General features: G+C 42.4%; 1 protein-coding gene across 4 annotated transcripts in view, besides 1 other annotated feature; it reads left to right on the plus strand.

Annotated features, from left to right (window-relative positions):
• DRAM1 (DNA damage regulated autophagy modulator 1) overlaps nt 1-26,685 on the plus strand; it is a 46,033-nt gene that overhangs the window by 12,783 nt on the left and 6,565 nt on the right. For 3 of the 4 annotated variants that reach the window (NM_018370.3, XM_005269004.3, XM_047429098.1), the window contains exons 2-5: nt 7,501-7,568; nt 10,929-11,071; nt 17,824-18,001; nt 23,812-23,870. In NM_018370.3, the coding sequence (NP_060840.2) occupies nt 7,501-7,568; nt 10,929-11,071; nt 17,824-18,001; nt 23,812-23,870 (448 nt within the window). The remainder of the gene's footprint in view (nt 1-7,500; nt 7,569-10,928; nt 11,072-17,823; nt 18,002-23,811; nt 23,871-26,685) is intronic. The other variant, XM_005269005.3, reaches the window with a different exon arrangement.
• Nucleotides 9,061-9,230: an enhancer, noted in NCBI's record as "experimental_22782 CRE fragment used in MPRA reporter constructs". NCBI's record gives its function as "activates a minimal promoter by MPRAs in K562 erythroleukemia cells, with activity observed for both the introgressed and non-introgressed 12:102293286 variant alleles {active_cell/tissue: K562}" and the evidence as "EXISTENCE:reporter gene assay evidence [ECO:0000049][PMID:34662402]".

A 26,685-nucleotide genomic window follows, 5' to 3' on the forward strand; every position in this document is an offset into this window, starting at 1 on the left:
AACCACCGAGCCCGGCCCTATTTTTTTTGGTCCTTGTAGCCACTGGAGTCCATGTGGGGATGGTTTCTAGAGATTCCCCTCAAATAACTTTCCAAATCAAACCACGTTCATCTCCCTCTTTATCACCATACTGGGCTAAGCACTCTGGACAAACTGCTAAAATAGCTTCCTTACGGTCTCCCTGGTCCACAATTGCCTCTCTACAGTCTTTTCAAAACATCCTTTAAAAACATGTTGTATGTGTGAACAAGAGGGAACTCTGATGGAGAGAGGGCAAAATTGCTTGTGGGTAGTGAGAAAAGAGCAAGGTATTTGTATTTGTCAGTAGGAAATTCTTTTTAAGTTTCAGAATAGTTGATATAGCTGAAGGGTGCCCCCGCCATTCTATTTTTTTTTTTTTTTTTTTGAGTCGGCGTCTTGCTCTGTCACCCAGGCTGGAGTGCAATGGCGTGATCTCAGCTCACTGCAACCTCCACTTCCCGGGTTCAAGCGATTCTCCTGCCTCAGCCTTCCGAGTAGCTGGGACTACAGGCGCCCGCCACCACGCCCAGCTAATTTTTATACTTTTAATAGAGACGGGGTTTCACCATGTTGGCCAGGATGGTCTCGATCTCTTGACCTTGTGATCCGCCCGCCTCGGCCTCCCAAAGTGCTGGGATTACAGGCGTGAGCCACCGCGCCCGGCCTGCCCCCCACATTCTAAAACAGTCATCACCAAGTGAAGCTGCCAGAAAGTTAGCTCTCGTAACTAAAAGTAGCTAATAAAATGTAGTATGACTTTTTATTCCGTACTTATCCCTTTTAAATAATATATTTAAATATTATAAAGATAAAGGAAATGATGTTCTCTTTATACTGGGGAATTATGTTTTTTTTAGATTCTAAGTCCCTATCAATCATCCAAGCAATTAGTGTATGAGTTTGGAACAATCTAATAAATTTCAGGCTGGAGACACACATGATGTTGCATTTTGTTAGCATCTAAGTTCCTCCAATAAACCATAATTCTAGGCTTTGGAATATTTAAATCCTGTGTATCCAGTAACTTAAAGAACAAAGTTTGACCAAGCTTCAGAAAGTCTTCTATTATCCAGCATGTTTTCTTTGTATCGTTTTCATTCCTTTCAGTATCAAGTGATTATTCACTAGCTTAACATCATAAATTAGTTTGAAGTAGGATGTTACACAAACGACTTGGAATTTTCCACAGTCTGCTTAACTTGCAGAAATGTAAATACAGGAAATGTGGACATAAACGGATTTCCTAGGCACAACCTACCCCTAAAATAACTGTGTATACATAACAGCCTCAACAGCTTCTGAACCACAGGCAAATGAACAATTTGCTGGCCTTGTCCTCTTTACAGTTTCCAGAAAGTGCCTTATTAGCAAGGAGGCAAATCAGGTGGTGGGTGGAGCTGGGCAGGGCCCACTGCACTGCAGAAACTGTGTGGTGCAGAATGATGTGGTAGGAGCTGGGTAGAGAGACTACTGCTGCCAGGCTGGGAAGCAACTGGTTTTGCCTCTCACTCATTCTCCAGTGTACTGAATCAGGCACCCAGGCACAGTTAGGCCACCCAAATACTACTACCTCTGCCCTTGCATGATGGAATCATTTAGCTTGAGCTTAAAAAAAATAAATAAATAAAAAGAGGTTACCCACAGGGTCTCTTGGTTACCTCTTAGTGTTTACTTATCTGGATTCCAGTATCACCAGAATATGTGACTTAATATTTACTTATGTATGCTGTCCAAAAAAGCAAAAAACAAACCAACAAAAGTAAAAAATATTTACTTAATATATAAAATCAGACGTGGAAAGACATAAGAACATTTTTCATTGAGAGGTAAGAGCTATTTCATTTTTATTTTATTTTTTATTTTTTTTTTTGAGACAGAGTCTTGCTGTGTCGCCCAGGCTGGTATGCAGTGGTGCGATCTCGGCTCACTGCAACCTCCACCTCCTGGGTTCAAGAGATTCTTATGCCTCAGCCTCCTGAGTAGCTGGGATTACAGGCACCCACCACCATGCCAGGCTAATTTTTTTTTTTTTTTTTTTTTTTGTATTTTTAGTAGAGATAGGGTTTCACCATGTTGGCCAGGCTGGTCTCGAGCCCCTAACCTCAAGTGATCCACCTGCCTCGGCCTCTCAGAGTGCTGGGATTACTACAGGTGTGAGCTAATGTGCGCCCAGCCTTCTTTCATCTTTAAAATGGTAATGGGCAAACACTATTGTTCTTAAAAGTTTTGAAACGTTCACATTTTCATTTGCCTCTTGGAAAGTTTTCATGAACTATTCTTGAGCAAAATTTCAGCTAATGTAAATTGGTACTGCTTTGTCACTTAGTGGAATTTTTTTAAAATTATTTTTATGTATTTTTTATTTCCTCACCTCTTTGAATTCTACACTTAGTGTAAATAAATCACAAATTGATAATTGTTATCTGATAGATTTGGGAATTTGTGACTCAGATTGTATCTAACAAATATTTTGCTGATGAATGAGTAAATTCTATAGCTATCTGTGGAGTTAAAAGAAAAAAACTTTGAAAAGATGGGTGTTTAATCAAACAACTGGTTATGAATTTTTGTTGTGTCAACACTGTTGTATTGTACTGTTGCAGTGCAAAGGTGTAGGAATGTGGGCCATTGATATTCAGGCATTGATGGTGGGTGTTATAGCCTCAGTCATCCTGAAAAATAATCAGATTTACCATGGCAGTATTTGGCAGAAAGGTTTTACAATTATAGCATTTGAGGAGTTTCTAAGATCTTGCCTAGTTTACATCTTTCTGGTCTACAACAAAGGCATAATGATGTCTTCTCATCACCATGCTGGTTCATTCCCGTGGTGTGCTGGAGCTAGCTGGTGTCTGCTCCTGAGCAGGGACTGTGTGCCTCTCTTCCAACTCCACGTTCAGTGACCTGCCGTTTGGTAGCCCAAATTTTGTTTTTATTTATTTATTTCGTTTTTTTGTTTTGGTTCTTTTGGTAGCCTGAATTTTAACGTGTTGAGAGTATTTTCACCATGGAAGTTGGCAAATGCCACAAACCAGGCACCCTCCAGAGCTGGCTGTTAAACACTGACCAGCATCTATATTAGTGTTTGCTCCCCGCCCCCAATCATTCTCCTAATGGCTTAGTTCCTTGTCTGCTGTTAAAGCAGAGGAGAGGCTGGGAAGTCAGGGAGTTAAACATCTGTATTGGGATAGGGAATCCTCTGTGTAGCTCTGTGATCTTGAACAAGTTATATAGCCTCTCTAATACCCAATTTCCTACTTTGTAAAATGGGGTTGATATAGACCCCCCTCAGGGTTGTAAAGATGAAATGAACTGATATATGGTAAGCACCTAATGGTGCCTGGTGGGTACATAGTCAATGCTCAGTAAGTGGTGTTGATTAGGTCAATTTTTTTTTTTTTTTGGCCAGTACTGATATTCATTCAATGGCTATTTGCAAAGTGCTTTTGGTTCCACCTGTATAGTTTTATTTATTTACTTATTTATTTTAATCTTAGTCCCAAATATTCTGAGCTTCCCTTCACCTGTATGTTTTTTTTTAAAATTAATTAATTAATTTATTTTTGAGACAAGGTCTCACTCTGTCACCCAGGCTGGAGGGCAGTGGCATGATCTTGGCTCACTGCAACCTCTGCCTACTGGGCTCAAGTGATCTTTCCACCTTAGCCTCCCAAGTAGCTGGGACTACAGGTAGGTGCCGCCATGCCTGGCTTTTTGTATTTATTTTATTTTTTATTTATTTTTTAATTTTTGAGACAGAGTCTCATGCTATTGCCTAGGCTGGAGTGCAATGGCATGATCTCGGCTCACTGCAACCTCCACCTCCCAGGTTCAAATGATTCTCCTGCCTCAGCCTCCTGAGTAGCTGGGATTACAGGCATGCACCACTATGCCTGGCTAATTTTTATATTTTAGTAGAGATGGGGTTTCACCATGTTGGCCAGGCTGGTCTTGAACTCCTAACCCGAAGTGATCCACCCGTCTCAGCCTCCCAAAGTGCTGGGATTACAGGCATGAGCTACCACACCCGGCCAATTTTTGTATTTTTTGTAGAGACAGGGTTTCACCATGTTGCCCAGACTGGTTTCGAACTCCTGAGCTCAAGTGATCCATCCTCCTCGGCCTCCCAAAATGCTGGGATTACAGGTGTGAGCTACCGTGCCTGGCCTCCACCTGTATGGTTTTAAATGTACAGATAAGCAAGAATAGAACACGACCCTGGAATTCCAAGTTTTCAGATCACGTGTTTGATGTCATGTGGACTCCACACCTGGGCCTTTGACATAGTCTCAATTTGCCATCAATAGACAGAGTCCCCAGGTCTGGTCTTCTCTTCAGTCAGAGCACCTAGAGCACCTTCATATCGCCACCTCCCTATCTTCCTAAATATCCTCCTCATTCTTTCATTGCCTTCCCTTTCTCCACAGACAGGCAAACAACCTTCTTCCCAGCGCTTCTCCTCTGTGTTTGCTCCGATGCCTGGCATGTGGCTGTCTGAGGTTCAGAATTATTCTCAGACCTGTGTAACAAGAACTCTAGGATGAGTCACCTGGTGCCTGCTTTTTTATACCCTCAGGCCAAGGCAGGGAGGCCTGATTTCCCTGGCAGAGTTAATTGTGTGGCAAAAGTGCTGCCCAAGGTTATGAGCTGTCTCTGCTTTTTTCCCCATTACTGGTTCCCATTCCTGTCTCTCTGCCCATTCAGCATTGTGCTCAGAAGGGCATCCTCCACCTCAACATTCCTGTAGTGTGAAAAATGGTTATTGTAGGAAAAGTGGTAATGCTAAATTCGAAACCCTTCAGGTTTTTTTTTTTTTTTTTTTTTTTTTTTTTTACCCAGGCTGGAGTGCAGTGGCGTGATCTCAGCTCACTGCAAACTCTACCTCCTGGGTTCAAGTGATTCTCCTGCCTCAGTCTCCCGAGTAGCTTGGATTACAGGCACGCTGTACCATGCCCAGTTAATTTTTGTATTTTTAGTAGAAACAGGGTTTCACCATGTTGGCCAGGCTGGTCTCGAACTCCTGAGCTCAAGTGATCTTCCCGCCTCGGCCCACAGAAGTCCTGGAATTACAGGCATGAGCCACTATACCCAGCCTAAATCCTAAACCCTTCAGGTTCTTGCAATACCAGTGACATTGAAATTGAATTAATTTGGAATAAAGGCATTTGCTGTAAGGGAGGCTATTTTTTTTTTTTTTTTTTTTTTGAGAAGGAGTCTCACTCTGTCACCCAGACTGGAGTACAGTGGCACGATCTCGGCTCACTGCAACCTCCGCCCTCTGAGTTCAAGCGATTCTCCTGCCTCAGCCTCCGGATTAGCTGGGATTACCGGCGTCTGCCACCGCGCCTGGCTAATTTTTTATATGTTTAGTAGAGACAGGGTTTCACCATGTTGGCCAGGCTGGTCTTGAACTCCTGACCTCGTGATCCACCTGCCTCGGGCTCCCGTAGTGCTGGGATTACAGGTGTGAACCACCGCGCCTGGTCGTAAGGGAGGCTATTAACTTCTTTTTCTTTTTTTTGAGACGGAGTCTTGCTCTGTTGCCCAGGCTGGAGTGCAATGGCGCAATCTTGGCTCACTGCAACCTCTGCCTCCTGGGTTCAAGCGATTCTCCTGCCTCAGCCTCCTGAGTAGCTGGGATTACAGGCACCCACCACCATGCTTAGCTAATTTTTGTATTTTTTAGTAGAGATGGGATTTCATCATGTTGGTCAGGCTGGTCTCGAACTCCTGACCACAGGTGATCCACCTGCCTCGACCTCCGAAAGTGCTGGGATTACAGGCGTGGGCCACTGTGCCCGGCCCTATTAACTTCTTTATACTCCAGTTTAAATACTAAGTGTTCGCAAAACTTAAAAAATTCCTGTTTTCTGCACACACAGGCTCCTTGTGGAATTCTTCAAACACTTACAAGTGCATCATTTTCAACGTGATCGGTTTTTTAATACTTAAATTTCAGAGCTGTTTACAAATGTAGAAACACTCAAAATGAGTTCAAGTTGTTTCATGTTGGGAGCTCTTTTGCCATCAGTTTTAAAGTGAGCAGCCTGAAAATGAAAAAAATTAAAGCTTGGCACTAATAGAAAATAGAACATGTTGGCCAGACATGGTGGCTTACACCTGTAATCCCAGCACTTTCGGAGGTTGAGGCAAGAGGATTGCTTGAGCTCAGGACTTCAAAACCAGCCTGGGTAACATAGCAAAACCCTGTCTCTAAAAAATAAAAAAAAAGAACATGTCAAACAGTATTTTCCAACTCATTTAATTAATTGAAAGACTGTACCTGAAAAATGTTTTACAGAAACCCTTTTTTGTTAAAATAATTTACCACAATTAATATACCCTAGATACCCTATTATTTCCATAAAGTATTCCTAGAGATCAATAATATTGTTCAGTTTTCTTTTTCTTTTTTTTTTTTGAGACAGAGTTTCACTGTTGTTGCTTAGGCTGGAGTGCAATGGTGTGATCTCGGCTCACCGCAACCTCCGCCTCCTGGGTTCAAGTGATTCTCCTGCCTCAGCCTCCTGAGTAGCTGGGGTTACAGGCATGTGCCACCATGGCCGGCTAATTTTGTATTTTTAGTAGAGATGAGGCTTCTCCATGTTGGTCAGGCTGGTCTCGAACTTCTGACCTCAGGTGATCCGCCCGCCTCAGCCTCCCAAAGTGCTGGGATTACAGGCGTGAGCCACCGTGACCGGCCTCAGATTTTTATCATAATATTTTCAGCAGATAATAAAATCTCAATTATTAGAAAATAAAGTGATGTGTTTATGTGTATTTAACATGCCAATATTAGAATTTTCAAACGCGATTTATTTTTATTTTTTTTTTGAGACCGAGTCTTGCTCTGTTGCCCAGGCTCGAATGCAGTGGCATGATCTCGGCTCACCATAACCTCCGCCTCCCTGGTTCAAGAGATTTTCCTGCTTCAGCCTCCCAAGTAGTTGGGACTACAGGCACCTGCCACCATGCTAGGCTAATTTTTGTATTTTTAGTAGAGATGGGGGTTTTACCATGTTGGCCAGGCTGGTCTTGAACTCCTGACCTCAGGTGATCCTCCCACCTCCACCTCCCAAAGTGCTGGGATTACAGGTGTGAGCCGCTGCACCCGGCCTCAAACATGATTTTAGATCTTTTTTTTTTGTTTTTGTTTTTCTTTTTCAAAGTAGTCATTCTTCACTGAGAAGGAACACATACCAAGGTTAGTGGGTTCGATCATTTGAAAAATGGCAGCACCATTCATTTTAAACATTTTCTGGCTTTTTACTATGGAATCTCTCATGGTATAAAAATAAATTTTAGATTTTTCAGAGCCAAAATGAAAATACTTTAGAACAAAATCAGGCCAAATCTTTGGAATTCAAAGTGGCTGAACACCTAAAAGAAACAGAATATAAAACTCGCCAATTACGTGTCTTCCCAGAGGTCTGGACAGAATTTCTTTCTAATAATTTGGACATTTCTTCCCTTTGCCAGTGATACGGGAACAACACCTCCAGAGAGTGGTATTTTTGGATTTATGATAAACTTCTCTGCATTTCTTGGTAAGTACACAATAATTATTATAAATAATTGAAAAGCTCACAATTCCAAGTGAAGTTGATGTGTCATTTGTAGTTTTCATATAATTTTTATTTTATTTTATTTATTTTTTCTGAGACAGGGTCTCTGTCATCCAGGCTGGAGTGCAGTGGCGTGATCACGGCTCACTGCAGCCTCAACCTGCCAGGCTCAAGCAGTCCTCCCACCTCAGCCTCCGGAGTAGCTGGTACTACAGGTGCACACCACCACGCCCAGCTAATTTTTTGTAGTTTTTTGTAGAGATGGGGTTTCACCATGTTGCCAGGCTGGCCTTGAGCTCCCGGGCTTCAGTGATCCACCTGCCTTGGCCTCTCAAAGTGCTGAACTTATAGGTGTGAGCCACTGCACACGGCCTTGTGTATAATTTTTTTAAAAGCACAATCTTTGCAGCTAGATTTTTGTCCTATTTTGAGAAACTGAAGTTAAAAGATATAAAAAATTATGGCTTTATTAGAGAACTATACTTTAATTAGTAATTTGTAACAGGATTTGCTGTAGGTGGTTTTAAATACCAAACTTCTGGAACGGATTTTAAGTGCAATTTAGTTTTTAAAAGTGTTGATTTATGGTCAAGACACTTATGTAAGCCAAAGACACCCAATGCGTAAGCTAAGTTTCTCAAAGTGTATTCTGAAGGCAAGCTGATGAAAAGTCACCTGGAGTTCTCGTAAAATGCAGGTTCCTGGGCCATGCTACTCAACCAGAACCTTTGGGAGTGTGGGTTCCTGAAGATGTGTTGTAAACAAGCACTCTAGGGGACTTGGTTTCTCACTAAAGTTTGAGGACCATTGACAAAGGCATTATCTTACCTGTTAGAGAAAGGGGACAGGTGGAGCAAGGAATAGTATGATTTTTCTTTTCAGTTCCTCAGATGTACCTAAGATGCAGATGATAGGGTGCAACCTTGTCATAAGCCAATTAATGTAATGCATATTAATTACAACTATTGTATAATTAATGTAAAGCTCAGTCTTCTATAAGGTGATTCAAGTATATAGATATCAGATGTGGGGCATTTTCTCTTAGTCCTTCTATAATCTCCCCCCAAACAATCAAGTGTTTGCCAAGGGCCTATCTTGTAACCAACGCTTTCTGTTCCTCTCTACTGGTACAGTGTGAGAAGGGACAGTGATGCTGACCCTACTTAGTGACTTGGCATTTTGGAATTTGTTCATCCTACTTGGTAGCAGGAAAGTTTCACCGCATCACCATTTGTAGTCCTCCTAAAGTTTTGGAGGTGAGCAAGGGGAAGTAGCAATATGGAGTCAGTCAATCCCAGTGCCCTCTTACACCATCCTTGCCAAGAATCCAGACTTGGAAAACAGAGAGATTATTTTATCACAGCAAGTGATAAATACGGCTTTTGCTTCTGAATAAAGCAGAAACTGACAAATATATTCATTTGAAATAGTCTATGTGAGCTCATGCCTGTAATTCTAGCATTTTGGGAGGCTGAAGCAGGAGGATCTGTTGAGCCCAGGAGTTCAAGACCAGCCTGGGCAATGTAGTGAGATCTCATCTCTACAAAAAGTTAAAAAAGAAAGAAAGAAAGAAAAAAGAAGTTAGCTGGGTGTGGTGATGTGTGCCTGTAGTTCCAGCTACTTGGAAGGATAAAGTGGAAGAATTGCCTGAGCCCAGGAGGTCAAGGCTGCAGTGAACCATGACTGTGCCGCTGCACTCCCACCCAGGTGACAGAGCAAGTCCCTGTCTCCACAAAAAAAAAAAAAAAAAAAGATTTATGATAAGTTATTAGTTTTTAGCCTGCTTTTTAAAAATTCAGGAATAGATTATGGCCGTCATACTATGTAAATATATACACATCTACTTTATCCTTTCCACACATGCATGATATCTTTCACAAGGATGTATTATCATTTATTTAATCAGTTCCCTATTGTCCAACATTTAGGCTATTTCTGGTATTTTGTAATTCTAATGTTGAAGTGAACATCTTTTAAATATATCTTTGCATATTTGTGTGAGTTTTTCTATAAGATAAATTTGCTGAGTTAAAGGGAATATGTATCTAAAATTATGGTAGCTATTTATTTATTCAACATTTACTAAGTATGTACTATATGATAGGGTTTGTGCTTGTTTATGACTTAGTGTTGAGTTTACAACAGCCAACAAAACAGACAAGAGCCCTGCTCTCATGGAGGCTACATTTTATTGCCAAATTACAACAAATGGTATTTGGTTAATTGACTAGCTATTTGGAAAAACATACCTTTACTATCCTCCTCACATCATACACAAAAACCAATTGCAATTTAATAGACATGAAAAGCAAAACTATGCAATAATTAAATTACAGGAGAATATTTTTTAAACCTTGGAATAGAAACACAAAACGCAGAAGAATTGATAGATATGAGTAGATTAAAAATTAAAACTTTCAAATGATGTAAGATACAAGATACAATGTTAAAAGACAAATAGCAGAGCAGAAGAAAATTTGTAATATTTATAGCAGATAATAGACTAATGGACATAATGTGTAAAAAGTAACTACAAATTAGATATCGACAAGCCCAAGAGAAGAATAAAAAGAAAATTGTAAACATGCATTTCTCAGAAGAAGAAATGCAAATGACCAGTAGATATACTGAAAGTTGCTAAATCTTGCTAATGATCAGAGAAATGCAAACTAACCCAACAGGTTGAATTTTCATTTATTAGACTGACAGAATTAAAAAGGCAAGGGCATACACAATTGCTCGCAAATTCTGCTGGTGGGAGTCTAAATCGTCAACGGGCTGGAGCAATTTGGAGGTGTTTCTAATTGTGCATGGTTTTTTGACCCAGTAATATTACTTCTAGGAACTGGTCTTTCAGAAACCCAAAGATTTATATACAAGGATATTCATGGCGTGTTGTTTGTAGCAGGAAAAACATGGAAACAATGTAGAAATTCATTCTTAGGAGAATGAGGAATAAATATAGTATCTCATACCACAGACCATGATAAGATCCCTGAAAACAATGAAGTAGATCTGTTTGTACTTGCTTGAAAAGATCTCCATGGTACACTGTTAAATGGAAAAAGCAAGTCACAGAGTAATACATGTACTATAATAGCATTTACATGAAAAGGACAACAGCCAAGGGGTGTGTGTGTGTGTGTGTGTGTGTGTGTGTGTGTGTGTGTGTGTGTCTGTACATGCTGGGGAGAGAGTAAGATGGAGTCAGGAGGGACAGGGGTGGGAAAGTGGGGAGACTTGCAATCAGTACATTTTTAAAAAGTGATACAAAGCTGCTCCTGTTTTTCATCCTAAAGACATCAAATTATGAACATTCATCAAAGTTCTCTTCTTTTTCAGGTGCAGCCACGATGTATACAAGATACAAAATAGTACAGAAGCAAAATCAAACCTGCTATTTCAGCACTCCTGTTTTTAACTTGGTGTCTTTAGTGCTTGGATTGGTGGGATGTTTCGGAATGGGCATTGTCGCCAATTTTCAGGTATAATCTGGAGCTTTTTCAGTTATGAGGAGTGGTGGAGTGTATGTGTCTGAAGAGAGCAGCAGAAATGCAAGAGGCACACTTATGCCATTATAGCCATTAAATGCTTGATGAGTTTACAATAAGTGGGTTAGTTTGCTTTTTAGAAACCTTTAACATTTGGAAATCAGGGCCAGGTGTGGTGGCTCACACCTGTAATCCCAGCACTTTGGGAAACTGAGGTGGATCATGAGACCAGGAGTTCAAGACCAGTCTGGCCAACATGGTGAAGCCTCATTTCTACTAAAAATACAAAATTAGCCAGGTGTGGCGTCACATGCCTGTAATCCCAGCTACTCAGGAAGCTGAGGCAGGAGAATTGTTTGAACCTGGAAGGTGGAGGTTGCAGTGAGCCGAGATTGTGCCACTGCACTTGACAGAGCGAGACTCTATCTCAAAAAAAAAAAAAAAAAGCATTTGAAAGTGAGTTCTGATACTTGGGAGAAATGGGGTGCACATTTGCATGATTATGAGAGTGTGTGATTCAGAGGAGGCCTTGGGCTTTGCATTGCTCCATGTTGTCATTGATGTGGTTTGATGTGTTGGGAGAGCTACTTCAGCTACTGTGATGATTTTGTTAAGAGTGTGAAAATATTTGTATGTGTTTACCAATTCTACCATTTAAACCTCTGGTATTCAAAGAGGAGGCTCCCGGTGACATTTCTTTATATTTTTATGACAGTATGCATTTTGTTTTTCATAACAACAAACATTTATTGAAATTTTCCTGTGACACATGTTTAAGAAAATATTCCATATTTTAACCATACAATTATAATAAAAGCCTTGTAAGATAGGCACTATTATTTTCCCCATTTATCAATGGTAAAATGGAGGCCTAGAGAGGTTAATACTTGCCTAAGATCAGTTGAATAATGCATGGCAGAGGCGAGCTTTGAATTGAAGTCATCTTCCTAGAGCCTGTGAGAGCTATCCTCAATGCTAACATGAAGATATATCTGTGACAAAAAAACCAAGTACACGATGCATAGTTCTACCATCAGGATGCACACACACACAAAATTTAAAAAGGAAGACCTAGAGTGGTATAATTTGTCTAGTACAGTGTGGTTATGGTTTAATGGGGGCTAGTATAGATATATCACTTTATCCTCTGACTAACCACATCATGAGAGATACAGATGTCAGTTTTTAAACCATTTAAGGGCTGACTTTAAGAAGAAAACTTAGATGGTTAAATAATTTCAACTTTTGGTTCCCCTTAAGTCTTCAATGATGTGATTAAATCCACAAAAACCAGAAATAGAATCTTAACTTCCCAAGGAGCAAAGTGTTTGACTTGTCATTGTTCCGATAACTGTATCTTTACAACTTCCTTGTTTGGTATCCTGTAATTCATTTTCGTCATATCAGGAGCAAACCAACTTGAGCTAACTCAAGATGATTTTGAGATGTGTGGGCAAGAGAGAGTGTGACTGCCTCTTTTTTTTTTTTCTTTTTTTGTAGAGACAGAGTCTTGCTCTGTCGCCCAGGCTAGAGTGTAGTGGCGCGATCTCGGTTCACTGCAACCTCCGCCCCGGGTTCAAGTGATTCTCATGCCTCAGCCTCCCGAGTAGCTGGGATTACAAGCACCCACCACCATGTCCAGCTAATTTTTGTATTTTTAGTAGAGATAGGGTTTCCCCATGTTGGCCAGGCTGGTCTTGAACTCAAGTGATCTGCCTGCCTTGGCCTCCCAAAGTGCTGGGATTACAGGCATGAGCCACCGTGCCCAGCCATGGTGATTTTTCTTGAGTTGCAATAAATCACATTTTTGAGAATTTCACAGATAATCTTTTTCCCAAATGGGTGGGTGAGATGGCTACTTTTTGGTGTGTCCTCACTAACTTCTGTCAATACTTTATTTTCCCTCAGAAAGTTTTCTTTTTGAAATTCTGTCATTTGTGGCAACATGGATGAACCTGGAGGACCTTATGCTAAGTGAAATAAGCCAGTCACAGAGGGACAAATACCGAATGCTGTCACTTATATGTGGAATCTAAGAAAATCAAACTTACAGGAGAGAGTAGAATGGTGTTACAGGAGTGAAGAGGAAGATGAGGAGCGGGGAGGTATTGGTCAAAGGGTACCAAGTTTCAGTTAGACTGAATTAATAATTCTGGAGATCTATTACTGCACAGTATGGTGACTATAGTTAATAATAGTGTATTGTATATTTCAAAATTGCTAAAACAGTAGATTTTAAATGTTCTCATCACAAAAAAAATGAATAAGTATGTGAGGTGATTGATATGTTAATTACCTTGATTTAATCATTCCACAGTGTAAACATACATCAAAACATCTACAGCCAGGTGTGGTGGCTCATACCTGTAATCCCAGCACTTAGGGAAGCCAAGGCAGGAGGAATGCTTTAGCCCAGGAGTTTGAGACTAGTCTGGGCAACATAGGGCAACACAGGGAGACCGTGCCTCTGGAAACACACACACACATACACACACACACACACACACACACACACACACACACCCCTATAAGCCTCATAAATATGAACAATTATTATTATTTTTTGAGACAGAGTCTCTCTCTGTTGCCCAGGCTGCAGTGCAGTGGCGCGATCTTGGCTCACTGCAACCTCCGCCTCTCAGGTTCAAGCAATTATCCCTGCTTCAGCCTCCCGAGCAGATGGTATTACAGGCACCTGGCACCATGCCCAGCTGATTTTTGTATTTTTTTTTAGTAGAGATGGCGTTTCGCCATGTTGGCCAGGCATGTCTTGAACTCCTGACCTCAGGTGATCCTCCCACCTCGGCCTCCTGAAGTGCTGAGAGGTGTGAGCCATCGTGCCCAGCCTATAAACAATTATTATTTGTCAATTAAAAATAAAAACTTTTAAAGTTTCCTTTTTAGAAAAGAAACTTTCCAAGGTTTAACTCTGTCAGTATTCACATATTCTTTTTTTTTTTTTGAAGCTGAGTGATAGAGCTTTAGGGGTTTTTTTTTTTTTTTTTTTTTTTTTTTTTTTTGAGACAGAGTCTTGCTCTGTCACCCAGGCTGGAGTGCAGTGGCGCAATCTCGGCTCACTACAAGCTCTGCCTCCCGAGTTCACGCCATTCTCCTGCCTCAGCCTCCCAAGTAGCTGGGACTACAGGCGCCCGCCACCACGCCCGGCTAATTTTTTGTATTTTTAGTAGAGATGGGGTTTCACCACATTAGCCAGGATGGTCTTGATCTCCTGACCTCGTGATCCACCTGCCTCGGCCTCCCAAAGTGCTGGGATTACAGGCGTGAGCCACCGCGCCTGGCTGATAGAGCTTTATTAAACTATTCTCTCTCTCTCTCCCTCTCTGTTGTTATTACCTTTTAAATTACCAAGAGAGTTTCTAAAAAGCAATCCAGAAAGAGTGCCGGGTTTTAACTTTATCGAAAATTCATGTCTGATCTAAACATCATTTCCCTGCTTTTTTGATTGATTGGTTGAGAAAGGGTCTCGCTCCTTCACCTAAGCTGGAATGCAATAGCACAATCATAGCTCACTGTAACCTTGAACGCTTAGACTAAGCCTTGAACTCCTCCTGTCTCAGTCTCTTGAGTAGCTGAGACTATGGGTGCATCACCATGCCCAGCTAATTCTTATTTTCACTTTTGTAGAGATGGGGTCTTGCTATGTTTCTGAGGCTGTTCTTCAACTCCTGGCCTCATGTGATCCTCCCATCTCCACCTCCCAAAATGTTGGGATTACAAACACAAGCCACCATACCCTGTCGTATTTTATTTTTCATATATAACTTCCCTGAATCTATATGCCTATGTTAGGAATCTTATTTATTTATTTATTTGTATTTGTATTTTTACCTTTATTTTTTGAGACAGGGTCTTGATCTGTTGCTCAGGCTGGAGTGCAGTGGTGTGATCATGGCTCACTGCAATCTCTGCCTTGTGAGCTCAAGCAGTCCTCCCACCTCAGCCTCCTGAGTAGCTAAAACTACAGGTTCATGCCATCATGCCCAGCAAATTTTTGTAGTTTTTGCAGAGACAGTGTTTCACCACATTGCCCAGGTTGGTCTTGAACTCCTGAGCTCAAGTGATACACCTGCCTTGGCCTCCCAAAGTGATGAGTTTACAGACATAAGCCACTGTGCCCAGTCTTTTATTTATTTTTATTTTATTTTTTGAGACAAGGTCTCACTCTGTTGCCCAGACTAGAGTGCAGTGGTGCTATCATAGCTCACTGCAGCCTTGGTCTCCCAAGCTCAAGTGATTCTCCCACCTCAGCCTCCGAAGTAGCTGGGACTACAGGCACACACCATCATGCCCATCTGATTTTATTTATTTATTTATTTATTTATTTATGTATTTATTTATTTTTTGAGATGGAGTCTCGCTCTGTCTCCCAGACTGTATGTAGTTCAGTGGCACAATCTCGGCTTACTGCAGTCTCCACCTCCTGGGGTCCAGTAATTCTCCTGCCTCAGTCTCCCTGGTAGCTGGGATTACAGGCACGCGCCACCACGCCTGGCTAGTTTTTGTATTTTTAGTAGATACGCGGTTTCACCACGTTGGCGAGGCTGGTCTCAAAGTCCTGACCTTGTAATCCACCTGCCTCAGCCTCCCAAAGTGCTGGGATTACAGGCGTGAGCCACAGTACCTGGCCCATGCAAGGTATCTTAGGTATACAGAAACTATATGATGTATTGCAGAGTCAGTGCAGTCATATTTGAATATAACACCAATCATGTAATCAATTTCTCCCCTTATTTCTAGGTTTGATACTAGGAAATACATTTCCTTAGAAATAAGTTAAAAGGTCTTTTTTTTTTTCTGCACCTCCCTTTCTTATGTGGTGAATGAAAATTTAATATCAATTCATTTGTGCTCCAGCTTGAGGTTGAACTGTCTGGATGGCAAATATTGTGGTGCTGGGGAAGCCCAGGTCAGAGGGAAGCTGGGGGAAGAGTGTGTTCACCGTGAGCTGAGGCCAAGGGGTGGCCTGTGGCCAAAACCAGGCTCTCCTGGACAACACTTTAACTTGCCCTTTGCAAAGCTTGCATGTTCAAGCTTAAGTCAAGACCCAGTGGTTCCATCTAAATGTTCCTCGACTGGAAGGTTGTGCCCAGTGCACATTTGAAAGGAGCTGAGGCTGGGTGTGGTGGCTCATGCCTATAATCTGAGCACTTTGGAAGGCTGAGGTGGGTGGATCACCTGAGGTCATAAGTTCGAGACCAGCCTGGCCAACATGGAGAAACCCCCGTCTCTACTGAAAACAGAAAAATTAGCTCAGCGTGGTGGTGCATGCCTGTAATCCCAACTACTCGGGAGGCTGGGGCATGAGAATCGCTTGAACCCGGCAGGTGGAGGTTGCAATGAGCTGAGATCTCATCACTGCACTCCAGCCTGGGTGACAGAGCAAGACTCTGCCTCAAAAAAAAAAAAAAAAAAAGAAAAGAAAAGAAAAGAAGGGAGCCAAAGGTGAGGTGCATTTTGAGTGTGTAGTATGTACAGGGTCTGCACCAACTTTCTGCCTAGACTGGCACAGGGGCTGCCTTCTGGTTGAAATGGCTGGTTACAGGATGGCAGGGACAGGGAACTTGTTTAGAAGCTGCCTTTCAAAAAAAATTAGCCAGAACTGGGTGTGGTGGCATGTGCCTGTAGTCCCAGCTACTTGCTGGGCTGGGAGGATCTCTTGAGCCTGGGAATTCAAGGCTGCAGTGAGCTATGATCATGCCACTGCACTCCCACCTAAGCGACGGAGTGAGACCCTGTCTCAAAAAAAAAAAAAAAAAAAGAAGAAAAAAGAAGCTGCATTTGCATAACAAAAGCAGTGGTTTTACTTAGATGGTGTGTTCATTTGAGGTGCCTTGGGAGGGATGAGTAGAGATTATCAGGGAGCAGGGAGCCTAAAAACCCCAAACCACCCTTGGCACCATCATGGAACGAGTCACGTACTTTGGTTTTTTTTTTCAATCATATCATACCGAAGTTTATTGATGACATCAAACAAAAATTTCTGTAACAAAAAAGGCAGGGTTGGGTGCGGTGGCTCACGCCTGTAATCCCAGCACTTTGGGAGGCCGAGGTGGACGGATCACGAGATCAGGAGTTCGAGACCAGCCTGGCCAACATGGCGAAACCCCGTCTCTACTAAAAATACAAAAATTAGCCGGGCGTGGTGGCACGTGCCTGTAATCCCAACTACTTGGGAAGCTGAGACAGGAGAATTGCTTGAACCTGGGTGGCGGAGGTTGCAGTGAGCCGAGTTCATGTCACTGCACTCCAGCCTGGGCAGCAAGAGTGAAACTCTGTCTCAAAAACAACAACAACAAAAAAAGAAAATTGTATATGATATGTATCCTATAATCTTCACTGCAAACATGCAAGACTGAGATGATTATGCCCATTTTTAGATACAGAAATCGAGGCTTTGCAGTAAGGTCACAGAGCCTCATGGTGGAGTCAGGACTTTTAATCCAGGTGTACCAGACTCTGAAGCCCACCATACTCAACCCTCCCACCTGTAAGGCAGACCTCCTTTCCTTGTCCCATGAGCCCAGGTTCGCTGTGGAACAACCAACTTTTTGGCATTAATTTCAGCACCTGGAGGGCTTTTCTTTTGGTAGTCAAACAGCCACATTTTCCAAGAAGTGGTGCATCTGTGATGACCAATGGCTCAAAGCAGCCCAGAGTGAGAGTGCTTGCGGTTCGATGTTGACAAACCCACCCAGAGTAACACACATTTATGACTTTTTCTCCAGGAGTTAGCTGTGCCAGTGGTTCATGACGGGGGCGCTCTTTTGGCCTTTGTCTGTGGTGTCGTGTACACGCTCCTACAGTCCATCATCTCTTACAAATCATGTCCCCAGTGGAACAGTCTCTCGACATGCCACATACGGATGGTCATCTCTGCCGTTTCTTGCGCAGCTGTCATCCCCAGTATCCTTTTTCACATTTGTGCCTTGTTAAAGGAATAAAACATTCAGTGACACTTGTTAAAGAAGGGTAATGAAGACTTTATAGGGACCGCTGCAATGAGTTCTGACAGCAGGGCGGAGAGATTGGGCTCAACTCTGAATACAGCATTGGCAAGTGCGAATCTATAGCCAAGGAGTAGGATGAGGTCAGTGAATGGAAAAGTACTAAAAGGAAACCTCAAGGATGAGGGGGAATTCTGGCCAAACCAACCTAACAGGATTCTTATTGAGTACTGGCCATGTGATCAGACATCACCTGGGAAGGGTGGAGGAGGAGGAGGAACCCAATCAGATATTGAGTGTGATCAGATATGAGGGTGGGGGGTCCTTGCTAAACTGACTTAGCCAGGGTTCTTTGCTAAAACTGGATCTTACAAGGAAGTGCACAGATGGACCTAGGAGAAGTTTCAGGGGCTTGACTAAAGTTCAGCCAAGCAAAGGATCTTTGTCACCGTGTCTTAGCAAAGCTTGACACTTCCCTTCCCCACAACCAAAAAAAAAAAAAAAAAAAAAGCAAAGGATAACAACCAAGTTTCCACATTTTTTCAGAAAAACAATTCGGATAAAAGTGTAGATCAAGCTGGGCGTAGTGGCTCACGCCTGTAATCCCAGCACTTTGGGAGGCTCAGGTGGGTGGATCACCTGAGGTTGAGAGTTCAAGACCAGCCTGACCAACATGGAGAAACCCTGTCTTTACTAAAAATACAAAATTAGTCAGGCATAGTGGCACATGCCTGTAATCCCAGCTACTTGGGAGGCTGAGGCAGGAGAATCGCTTGAACCCGGGAGATGGAGGTTGCAGTGAGCCGAGATCACACCATTGCACTCCAGCCTGGGCAACAAGAGTGAAACTCCGTCTCAAAAAAAAAAGTGTAGATCATTAAGAAAATGTCTCAACATTGTCTAATTAGATCAAAAGTCTCTTTGCGGGGAAGAATGGTATGAAAGAAGGGTGGAAAATGTAGGAACACTTTAGTCTCTGTTTACTTTCCTTCTCACAGGGCCAGTTTCATGAGCCATATGAAAATATTTATTTTTCTTTGTAGTGCTTGGCTAAAGACACCAAATATTGATATTGTACTCAAAGTAATAGCCCCACGAAGTCCCTCAAGGCTAAACTCTCCCCCTCCCTGCACGTCGTAGGTGGCAAGACAGTTTGATTTACTCATTCATGTGAAGAAATTTCTAAAAAGCTCTAGATCACTTATTACTGAGTAAATTAAAATATGTTTAGCCTTTTCTTTTTATAGTCACTGATTTCATTTTCAAAATGAAATCCATTTTATTTTCTAACTCAGCAATCTGAAAGGAAATGAAAATATAAATTTAGCGTGCTTGTAGATTCTGATTTAGAGGAAACGAAAGCTTTTTCTTTCCCTTTTTCTTTTCTTTAATGAAGTATTTAACAAAGAAAAAAAGCCGTGGTCTTAAAGAGTTGCAGAGTTCCCCATCTTTCAAAATACCATCTGTAGTCATATCAGAGAAAGCTTCAGGGTCATTAAACATTGATGACTAATGTCAGATTGTAGGAAAATCGGAACTATGTTATCGGCGGCAATTTTGTTAGTCTGGGTTGAGTTACGGTATAAAGTGGGCAAGATGGAGTGAAAACACATCACTTGCTTCTAAATATTAAGCTTTGTGTTTCTTTTCTAAAATAGAAACTACAAAATGTGAAGTCTAAGTATGATTTTGGGTTTTCTTCCATCTTGGGGAAGGACATTTTTAATTACAAAATTTCCAGGCACAGAGTAGCCAAATCCTAGTACCGAGAAATTTACCAACAAAATATATACCCTTGTTCCTAAGATAGTTGCTTCTCAAATCCCTTGTCTTACTTATAGGTTAAAGGAACACTTTCTCTTTGAATATATCTCCTTCAACATTTTATCTTGTGTTAGTTGTAAAATTCATAATAGTGGTTGTAGTGTTACAAGCAAAGTTTCTTGATGCAGGAAACCTTCCCTTGCTTCCAACTTCGGAAACAGATCCCTAGATATCAAAGTCAGAGAGTTTTCACAAAATAAGCATTTCAGGCCTCAGAGTTTCACTTACTAATAATTCTCATTTCTAGAAAGTTTTTTTTTTTTTTTTGAGACAGAGTCTCACTCTGTCACCCAGGCTGGAGTGCAATGGTGCGATCTCCGCTCACTGCAACCTCCGCCTCCCGGGTTCAAGCAATTCTCCTGCCTCAGCCTCCCTAGTAGCTGGTATTACAGGTGCCCACCACCACGCCCGGCTACTTTTCATATTTTTAGTAGAGACGGGGGTTTCACCATGTTGGCCAGGCTGGTGTCAAACTCCTGAACTCAGGTGATCCACCCGCCTCAGCCTCCCAAAGTGCTGGGATTACAGGTGTGAGCCACTGTGCCTGGCCTCTAGGAAGTTCTTATTATAAGTCATGCCAACAGGAAGCAGCCCCATACAGAAAGGGGTTATAACCCTATGTCAGATTAACTTGAATGAATTCATCCACACGAAAAGATCTTCTGTCTTAAACATTAGTGTGGTATTTATATTTCCTTACAAAGAATTGACAGCATCTTTAAATAGGCTAGGTGCGGTGACTCACACCTGTAATCCCAGCACGTTGGGAGGCCGAGGCAGGTGGATCACTTGAGGTCAGGAGTTCGGGACCAACCTGGCCAACATGGTGAAATCTCATCTCTACTAAAGTTACAAAAATTAGCCAAGCGTGGTGGCGTATGCCTTTAGTCCCAGCTACTTGGGAGGCTGAAGGAGGAGAATCGCTTGAACCAGGAGTGGGAGGTTACAGTGAGCCAAGATTGTGCCACTGCACTCCAGCCCAGATGACAGAGTGAGACTCCGTCTCAAAAAAAAGAGTTGAAAGCATCTTTAAAATGCCCTGGTTTCTTCTTACTGCAGTATTTCTGTATAATAGCCTCATTTGACTACCGAAGAAACCGAGGCACCTAGTGAGGCAGACGTTAGAATCCTGCTTCTAAACCTTTCCTGATGAATTATCTGTCTTGCACCGGGCTTCTAAAGCTTCTGAAAGCCTTCGCAGAACTCACCAACAGCATAAAGTCCAGGTTCCTCTGCATCAGACCCATGATCTGAGACCTCCTAGTTCTTCATCCTTGTTTTTAGGGCTTCTCCCTCAGGCTTGGTTGTTTGTTGTCCTCTGTTTTTAACTGATCTCTACTTGGCTGGATTATCCTCCTCCACTTTGTCTTGCTAGAGCTGTTGGTTCAACATGGTACCCACATGTGGCTTTTGCATACTTGAAATGTGGCTAGTCCAGATTGAGATGTGTCCTAAATGTAAAACATATACCTGATTTCAAGGATTTGATAAGAAACAGAAGTAAAATATCTCAATAATTTTTTATATTATTACACATTGAAATGATATCATCAGCAATATTATTTGATATATTGAGTTAAATAAGATGTATGTTGTTTATCAATACATAAGATATGTTTTGCATATTATGTATATCTTATATTGACAATATTTTTATGTGTTGGGTTAGATAAGATATATTATTAAAATTAAGTTAGGGGTCAGGCACGCCTGTAATCCCAGCATTTTGGGAGGCCGAGGTGGGCAGATCATTTGAGGTCAGGAGTTCGAGACCAGCCTGGCTAACGTGGTGAAACCCCATCTCTACTAAAAATAGAAAAACTAGCCAGGTGTGGTGGTGGGCACCTGTAATCCCAGCTGCTGAGGAGGCTGAGGCAGGAGAATCGCTTGAACCCAGGAGGTGGAGGTTGCAGGTGAGCTGAGATCACACCACTGCACTCCAGCCTGAGTGAAAGAGCGAGACTCCATCTCAAATACATAAATAAATAAATAAATTTGGATATTAGAAAATTAAAAATTACACATATTTCTGTGGGATGGTGCTGCTCTAGAGAGCTCCTTAAACTTCACAACTTACATTAAGTTTCACTGAATGAAGCTTTCTCCCATTCCATTCTGAATTAATAATTTTCCCTTACAGTCATTGCTGTACCCAGTTCTTTTCTGTCTACTATGGTACATTCTCTGGGTCTGGTCCAACAAAGTTGTGATATTTCTGAGAGCTGAGACCAAGTTTTCCCTTCTCCCACCCCCAGACCAGAATGGTACCTGGTGCACTGAAGATGGAGCTAAGAATAAATAAACGAAATAATTAAGAGGCTTTTAAACTATTAGAAACAGATGTGAGGTGATGAAATGATCAGAGAATCTTCTGTGCTCTCTACTTCTTTTATTTTGAGAATCAGAAGCATTAAACTCTGCACAATTTGCGGGGGGTTGGAGTTAAGAGAGATGACGCTGACTCTGAATTCAGAGGAGGCTCTAAACTTTCCTTGGCTCAACATTTTTTTTTTTTTTTTTTTTGAGACAGAGTCTCACCCTGTTGCCCAGGTTGGAGTGCAGTGGTGCAAATTCAGCTCACTGCCACCTCCCAGGTTCAAGCGATTCTCCTGCTTCAGCCTCCCAGGTAGCTGGGATTACAGGTGCACGCCACCATGCCCAGCTAATTTTTGTGTTTTTAGTAGAGACTGGGTTTCACCATGTTGGTCAGACTAGTCTCGAACTCCTGACCTCAGGTGATTCGCCTGCCTCAGCCTCCCAAAGTGCTGGGATTACAGGTGTGAGCCACTGCGCCCGGCCTAACATTTTGAATTTCTAATATTTTGCAGACTTTTTAGAGCATCCCATTTCTCTCTAGCTTTCTTTTTTGCATTCTAAGTTCAATCAAAATGGTTATCACTGCCTTCATGCAGAAAGTATTGCTGGTGGAAGATAGGAGCCTCAGCCCCTGGCATTATTAGGCTGGACTGTAGGCATGTGTCAGTCATCCCTGAAGTCTGATATGGGGCGAATCTCTTTGATTTGCCAGATCTTTGGTCCAGGAAGGAAGGGCTCACCTTATACCCAATTACCCAACAGAAGTCTGTTTTTTAAAGATAATAGTTTGAGTTTCTGTAGCTTGTTTTTGTATATGAGCCTTGGCACTTTGGAATTTAAAATTTTCCTTAAAGCTGTTACCTTGGAAATAGTATTTTAGGCCGGGCACGGTGGCTCATGCCTGTAATCCCAGCACTTTGGGAGGCCGAGGTGGGCAGATCACCTGAGGTCAGGAGTTCAAGACCAGCCTGACCAACATGGAGAAACACCGTCTCTACTAAAAATACAAAAAATTAGCCAGGCATGGTGGTGGGTGCTTGTAATCCCAACTATTCAGGAGGCTGAGGCAGGAGAATGCTTGAACCCAGGAGGTGGAGGTTGCAGTGAGCTGAGATCGCGCCATTGCACTCCAGCCTGGGTGACAGAGCGAGAGTACGTCTCAAAAAAAAAAAAAAAAAAAAAAAGGAAAGGAAAATAGTATTTTAGGGAAAAAGTATTTTTATTCAGTGGGAAGTATTCAAAAAGAACCATCCTGGACTGCTGCGTCAGTCATTTTGACCGAATTTAAACAGCTAGTTTAAATGGGAAGATCCAGAAACATGTAGGGTTGTGCAAAATGTAGTGACAAGTTTTAATAAATTTTACTATACACACTGGAAAACTATTGCGAAGGTATTTCCGTGTTGTGATTTAACTCTCATCATTGAATTTGAAGTTTGAGTTTATAAGAAGCTAATATAACTGGTTTGATTGTAGAAATGTTGGTATTAACATTTTAATTGATGATAGAAATGTTGGTATTAACATTTTAACACCTTATAATGATTATGTTATTAGGAGAATAATGTAGTCTTAACATTAAAGGAACTGTTGTGTGCTGTAGTTTCCTTAACTGTTTACTTCTTTCAGTGATTGTCTGTGCTTCACTAATTTCCATAACCAAGCTGGAGTGGAATCCAAGAGAAAAGGTAACATTTAAGTTGTTGTGAATGTGGTTGTCGGACGTGGTTATGTGAGCTTGTGGCCAGGCTAGGCATAGGGAAGATCACTGCCGTTCCTTAGAACAAGTTGCAAAATGTCAAATAAACATGGCATGTAATCAATTTACTGTCCAATCATTTGGCAGTATGTAGTAATTAGCTATCAGGGTAATTCCAAATGCTTCCTGGAAGTATTTTCAAAATTTTGAGTTCCTAATTTCTTTCTTTCTTCTTCTTCTTCTTTTTTTTTTTTTTTGAGACAGAGTCTTGCTGTGTTGCCCAGGCTGGAATGCAGTGGTGCAATCTCAGCTTACTGCAACCTCTGTGTCCCAGGCTCAAGCGATTCTCCTGCCTCAGTCTCCCAAGTAGCTGGGACTACAGGCACCTGCCACAAGGCCCAGCTAATTTTTGATTTTGTTTTGTTCTTTTCTGAGACAGAGTCTCGCTCTGTCACCCAGGCTGGAGTGAAGTGGCGTGATCTCAGCTCACTGCAACCTTTGCCTCCTGGGTTCAAGTGATTCTTGTGCCTCAGCCTCCCGAGTAGCTGGGACCACAGGCGTGCGCCACATGCCTGGCTAATTTTTGTATTTTTAGTAGAGACAGGGTTTTTCCCATGTTGACCAGGCTGGTTTGGAGCTCCTGGCCTCAAGTGATCCCCCCGTCTCGGCCTCCCAAAGTGCTGGGATTATAGGCGTGACCCACCGCACCCGTCCCTCTAATTTCTTCCTTTTCTTTCTTTCTTTTTTTTTTTTTGAGACAGAGTCTCGTTCTGCCGCCCAGGCTGGAGTGCAGTGGCACAATCTTGACTCAGTGCAAGCTCTGCCTCCCGGGTTCATGCCATTCTCCTGCCTCAGCCTCCTGAGTAGCTGGGACTATAGGCGCCTGCCACCACCCCCGGCTACTTTTTTGTATTTTTAGTAGAGATGGGGTTTCACCGTATTAGCCAGGATGGTCTCGATCTCCTGACCTCGTGATCTGCCCACCTCGGCCTCCCAAAATGCTGGGATTACAGGTGTGAGCCACCGCACCTGGCCTTTAATTTCTTTCTTAAACACTTCAACTATCTATCTTTAGTAAAAGAGGGTAGAGGGACAGTGTGAATGAAGGTGTTTGGTGGTGAAAGGGAGCGTGGAATGTTAAGTAGAGAGGATGATACCAGCTCCAGTGTGGTGGATAGTTCATTTCAGGATAGAGTGAGAAATCACTGCAGCCGGGGATAACTGTGCAAGGGTGTAGTGGCTGTAAGAGGCAGGCAGAGAGGCTTGTACTTGGCCTAGGTGACCAGAGTAAGACTTTGAAGACTTTTTTTTTTTTTGAGACGGAGTTTCGCCCTTGTTGCCTAGGCTGGAGTGCAATGGCGCGATCTCGGCTCACTGCAACCTCTGCCTCTCAGGTTCAAGCAGTTCTCCTGTCTCAGCCTCCCAAATAGCTGGGATTACAGGCACTAGCTGGGATTACAGGCGTGCACCACCATGCCCAGCTAGTTTTTGTATTTTTAGTAGAGACGGGATTTCACCGTGTTAGCCAGGATGGTCTTGATCTCTGCACCTCGTGATCTGCCCTCCTTGGCCTCCTAAAGTGCTGGGATTACAGGCGTGAACCACCACGCCCAACCTGCAGACTTTCGAACGGTAAAGCAAATAGAAAGAGTATTATTAGATGAGTGTTAGACAGAAGCAATGCCTGGGATGGCTTGGAGAGCTTGGCATTAGGAGGGCAAGGAGAAGGCAGTTCTACTAGTTCACGTTTCAAATAGGGGAAATCTGATGGGTGTTGGCAAATGATTAACACAAGAATGAAGTGGCATGATGAATCAAAGATGACTTCTAAGTTTTTATCTTAGGTGAACCAAAGAATTTATTCCCTTGACCAGAAATAAGGCCCCTAACAGGGATAAATAATTTAGTAGGTGGAAGTGGATGAGTTTGGTTAGAGTTGATGATTCTGAGGATATGATGAGATATCGAGGTTAGAAACATGGGCCTAGGCCAGGTGCTGTGGTTCATGCCTGTAATCCCAGCACTTTGGGAGGCTGAGGCAGGAGGATTGCTTGAGTCCAGGAGATGAAGACCAGTCAGGGTAACACAGTAAGATCCTGCCTCTACAAAAATTAGCCAGACGTTGTGGCATGCGCCTGTAGTCCCAGCTACTTGGGAAGCTGAGGTGGAAGGATCACTTGCACTCCGGTGGGCCTAGACTTCTGGTGGGACTGGGAGTCGTCAGAGTGTAGGGTAGAGTTGTTAGAGTATGGGGTAGACCAGGACATTTTGGACCAAGCATCAGAACACATGGAACCAAATGTTTGACATTGAGATCAACCCATCCTGTTAGATACCTGTAGTAGTGGTTCATCTAGACGCCTTATAGGAGAATCAAGGATGCCCCAGGAAAGAAGAGAGTTAGTGAGAGACAGAGGATTCTTTCCCCCAAGGATCAGGTGGAAGAATACCTCCAGCAAAGGAGAAGTAAAGGGATCATGGACCAGAGAGAAGAACTAGACTTGTGCTGTATGGTAGACCTCATTGATGAGTCCCTACCACATGCAAGACTGTGAAAGATTATAGAGGGCAGGGTGGCCATGGGATAGAGGATCCTGAGGGATTTTATAGTTCAGAGGGGCAAACAGCCAGTTGTCAATGGCTAAATGTAATACTTTGAAGAATAAAAAAATGCTGAACTGGACTTCAGACAACACATTGTGGAAATGCAGAAGCAATAGCAATTAATCCTAACGATGGAATGAGAGGAGATACGATCCCAGAGACTAAAGGACATTTTTCAAAGGCAAGGGAAATGGCTAACT

The sequence above is a fragment of the Homo sapiens genome, chromosome 12 (genome assembly GCF_000001405.40).
Source record: "Homo sapiens chromosome 12, GRCh38.p14 Primary Assembly".
Lineage (NCBI taxonomy): Eukaryota > Metazoa > Chordata > Mammalia > Primates > Hominidae > Homo > Homo sapiens.